Consider the following 4,498-nt stretch of genomic DNA (forward strand, 5'->3'; position numbering starts at 1 on the left):
CCCAGAACTCCCCTGGACACGGCTCCCCACGGCCCCACCCCTCAAGCCTGGACAACCTTGGTGCCCTCCTGGCTTCCAGCACCCACCCAGTCCTTCACGCCAGGCTGCTGTTTCCCCAAACAAGTGAGTGTCCTGCTCCCTTCCAGCACCCCTGACCTTCTCCTGCCTCAGATTCTTTCATGCTGTTCTCGGCTCCTAAATTCAGGCTCGCCTTAAAGCTCGGCCCACGTTTCCATGATAAAGCACTCTGTGATTATTTGCTGATTCCACCAATATTTTTTTGAGTACCTGTTGTGTGCCTAACACCGATGGCATTCAGAGCTGGTGCACAGCTGTGAGCAGAACACAGACCCTTAGGGAGCCCCTGGCCTGCTAGTGGAGATGACCCCAATCCAGGGAGATGTGGGAGCACTGAGGAGAAGCCCCAACCCTGGGGTTCATGGAGGGCTTCCTGGAAGAGGAAGCAAGGTGAAATCAGAGGCTGCAACGTATGAATTGGTTAGAGGGGTGGGGCTGGAGGAGGGAACCATAATTCAGCCCATAATAAGGGCTTAGCCTTGGTACTCTTAAGAACAGTATCCTTTCTGTAGTAAGGAAAATGGTGATATGGTTTTGCTGTGTCCCCACCCAAATCTCATCTTGAAATCCCAAATGTTGTGGGAGGGACCTGGTGGGAGGTAATTGAATCATGTGGGCGGTTCTTTCCTGTGCTGTTCTCAGGATGGTGAATAAGTCTCACAAGATCTGATGGTTTTAAAAACAGGAGTTTCCCTGCACAAGCTCTCTCTTTGCCTGCTGCCATCCATGTAAGATGTGACTTGTTCCTCCTTGTCTTCCACCATGATTGTGAGGCCTCCCCAGCCATGTGGAATTGTAAGTCCCATTAAACCTCTTTCTTTTGTAAATTGCCCGGTCTCGGGTATGTCATTATCAGCAGGGTGAAAATGGACTAATACAAATGGGATTTCATTTGTGCTTAAAATTCTACAGTAGCATATTATTGCTTTTGCCTTTAATAGGAGGACATATTTTAACTACCCTTCCCTGAGGCTGATTGCAAGGGACATAAGGGAATTCCGATTTAGAGACACGTACCCTTTGACAGGATATGGAACCATGTGGCAAGGGCCTGGGGTGGACAGCTATAGTGTGTGTGGCCAGCGTCCCTTCTGGGAACAGCACCTGCTCTCCCTGGAAGAACCTCTCTCCCCATCACACATGGCCTTGGTGGGCATGTGACACAGGCTAAGGCTGCTGGGTCGTCTCTTCCAGCAACATGAATCTCTAGAGGCAAAGATGGGGAGTGGTTGGAGTGGGTCCAAGCGGAAGGAACTGAGACCTTGATCCATGGACCTCTGTCCCTTTTAAACTGCCAAGGAAAGCAGCTGATAGAAAGGTAAATTGACCTAGGGTCAGGGCCAAGGGTGAGAGTGGAATGGGTGGGGCAGGTGTACCTGGCTGTGGTTTCAAACAGAAGCTGAGAAATATAGACTTGGGGAGAGATATTTACTCCTCAAGTGCCAGAGAAGAGAACCAAAGATGGCAGCTTGCCCTGGGAATGGAAATAGAGCCCGACAGTGATGGGGTCATTAAACCTGAGCTAACACCCAGAATAAAAGCAGTCCAGTTGTAGGAGTCGGATTGAAAGCTGAGCCGCAGAGCCGCTTGTAGGCCGCTGTGTGTAAATGGATATATTTCCAATCCACTCGCGCTGTGGGGGTTCCTCCATGCACCAAAACCACCTCTGTGCCTTTTACAGCAGGAGACTCAAAGGGAAGGAATGAACAGCTTTAGAAAGCATGAAATCAAAGGAAGATCAGGAAGAACCTGTCTTTCTGTGGGAAAGTACTCCTGCCTTTTACTTTTGAAGAGTTGCATCTAAAAGGGACCCTTCATGGCATGAGGCATGAGGCATCTGCTCCAGGCCAGAATCCTCCACGTGTCCCTCAGGCCCGACTGCACCAACCAGGCAAAAGCCCATGCATGGCAGCGTCTGAAGGGAGCTGCAGTAGAGGGCTGGGTCCCGAGCCGGCCATGCTCACAGATGCATCTGCATCCGGGGGCCTCTCACCAGCAGACCACTTTTCCCTCCTTTGAATCCAGTCTTTTTCCACTTCTAACCCTTCCCTGTCTCCCTCTCCTCAAACCCTGGGTCCAAATGAAAGAGCTGGGAGCCTTTCGTTTGGGGCTCCTGAGCTGACCCAGCTGAGCCTCGCAGGTGCATTTCGGTGAGGGATGGACCTTTGAGCAGCCAGCACGATTTTCCCTTTGCCTCTTTGCTGCACTGTCATGGTGCCTGATGAGGGAACGCTTGACACTGACAGTGGACTCATTTTCTAATCATCCATCTCGACACCTGGAAGTCTAATGAGACCCCATTCAGCGTGGCTTTCTCCCGCTCCTGCTCCACTCCCTACCTCCTCCTGTTGTCCATAAAGAAGGGTGTGCCAGGGAGAGTACACTGAGTCCGGGGAACAGGCATCAGGGGATGCCTGCAGGACCAGCGGGAAGACTGGGCACATCGTATGGACAGTCACCCCCGGAGGACCCGGGAGCAGCGAATATTTGATCATCGTTCCAGGGACTTTCTGGAATGAATGAACGTTGGCCTCTCTTGGTCTTTTTATCAAAGAGTTCAGGATTTGGATTCCGGGGAAGGTCATCTCCCAAAAGACTTGGAAAGAACGGGTTAACAATCACTGGGTTTACAGGGATGCTGAACTGCATCACTCGGTAAATCAGTTGTTCTCAACGAGGAAATTCGTGTGCTACTTCCAAAAGAAAGCGAAGAGATGCTGAGCTGCCTAGAATGAAATATCCCACTGCAATAAGCTCCCTAAAGAAGGAGAACTTCAAGAGCCCTCGAAGAAACAATGTAGAAAGATTGGGATTCTCACCGACAGCCCTATTCCTTTCAAGCCTAAAATACATGAATGAAGATTCAGACCTGTAGGTAGAGGGAGAAGACTGAGGTAGATGGAAAGAGGGCAAAGGAGAGCATCTTAGGGATAAGAAAATGTCGGGCAATGGAAGTCGTCATGCACCATTTTTCTTGCTTTGTTATCTTCCTGGAAACCATCGGTGTCCTCTTGCCTTGATGACGCTGTCTCCTTTCCTGCACTCAAGTTCCCTCATACTGAGGGCTGAGTTTATCACAGACTGGTCTGCAGCAACTCTCCTCCTTTCTCCCCAAACACCAAGTCACTGAATCCAACTCACGTCAGTGGAGGGGTTCTCCTTTTCCCCTTTGAGATTGCAGTATGAGTGAACCACACACATTTCCACCAGTGTCTCCTTCAACCGTCTCCCCCTCGACAAGAACCCTACCTCGCTCAGTATGCATAAATGCATGGCTCCAACTCTGGGGCATCAGATCACCCTCGAGAGACGCAAGGTGCCTAAGGGCTTGAGCTTTGTAAAAGCAGGAACCTGGGGTCTGAGTCCCCATTCTACCAGGCATTAGTCTTGTGACCTTGAGCAAGCTATTAAACTTCTCTAAGCCCATGCTTCCTCAGGCATGAAATAGGGTTGACAACAATAACTTCCTTGGAAGATTACGTGAGGATCCAATGAGAAACCATGAGTTAAATACTTAGCACGGTGTTTTCACAAGAAGCGTTAGTTGCTGTAATGCTATTATCCAGTTTACTTTTACCATACAGCAGAACAGTAAAATAATCCATCACTCTTTATCACTTTCTCTCCTTATTCTAATAAGTCATTTGGTTCCAGGAAAGAACACAGAAGAGTTTGCAGGTAAGCTGGGGACTTCCCAGTTTAACCCCAAAGTAGAGTTACAGATTGAAATCGGACTTGAAAGGCAGCTGTAAAAAGTGTTCCATAGACTTGCTATTACAGGTAAACACCAACTTACAATAAAGAACCCCAGAACACTTCAAGAGAGAAACTTAGACCCCAGACCTGGAATGAAAGAGAGACCCCCACATTGCCAGCATTGGCAATAGATTTATGTTGGAGCCAACAAAAACGCCTGAAAAACAAACACAATCCCCACGCAGGTTTCCAAACTGCACGCTGCAGGCTGCTACTGGGGAAGATAATTCATCATCATAAAAACAAACATCCATTTTACACTTGCATGGCAATGCGGATGTCCTTATTTGCATAATGATGGTGATTTGCATATGAGGAAAATTTGCCTGAGTGAGTCTTGAGCTCAAAATACATTCAACTATGATACCGTTGGTACAATTTTCTCAAGGATCCCAATTTAATACTATTTATCTAATGAAAGGAAAAAAATAAATATTGGCTGTAACATCCCATTATGCTTGAGAGTTGGTTTTAAATTACACTTGAGTAGAGTGAGGGAGTGGTGTTTGTCTTCCTTTGAAGTGCATATTACAAAGGAGAGTATTGTCTAGAGGTGAGAATTTCTTCACTTTAACAGTTGCTAAAAATGGGCATCTTCAGCCACACACATGCACAATTATCTGCAGTAAGCATTTGGTCCACGAACGCAATTACTTCTACCCTA

At 47.9% G+C, this 4,498-nt stretch overlaps 1 annotated feature.

Moving 5' to 3' along the window:
- Positions 2,519 to 2,688: an enhancer, noted in NCBI's record as "experimental_25552 CRE fragment used in MPRA reporter constructs". NCBI's record gives its function as "activates a minimal promoter by MPRAs in K562 erythroleukemia cells, with activity observed for both the introgressed and non-introgressed 12:130420667 variant alleles {active_cell/tissue: K562}" and the evidence as "EXISTENCE:reporter gene assay evidence [ECO:0000049][PMID:34662402]".

This window comes from Homo sapiens, chromosome 12, assembly GCF_000001405.40.
Source record: "Homo sapiens chromosome 12, GRCh38.p14 Primary Assembly".
NCBI classification, from domain to species: Eukaryota; Metazoa; Chordata; class Mammalia; order Primates; family Hominidae; genus Homo; species Homo sapiens.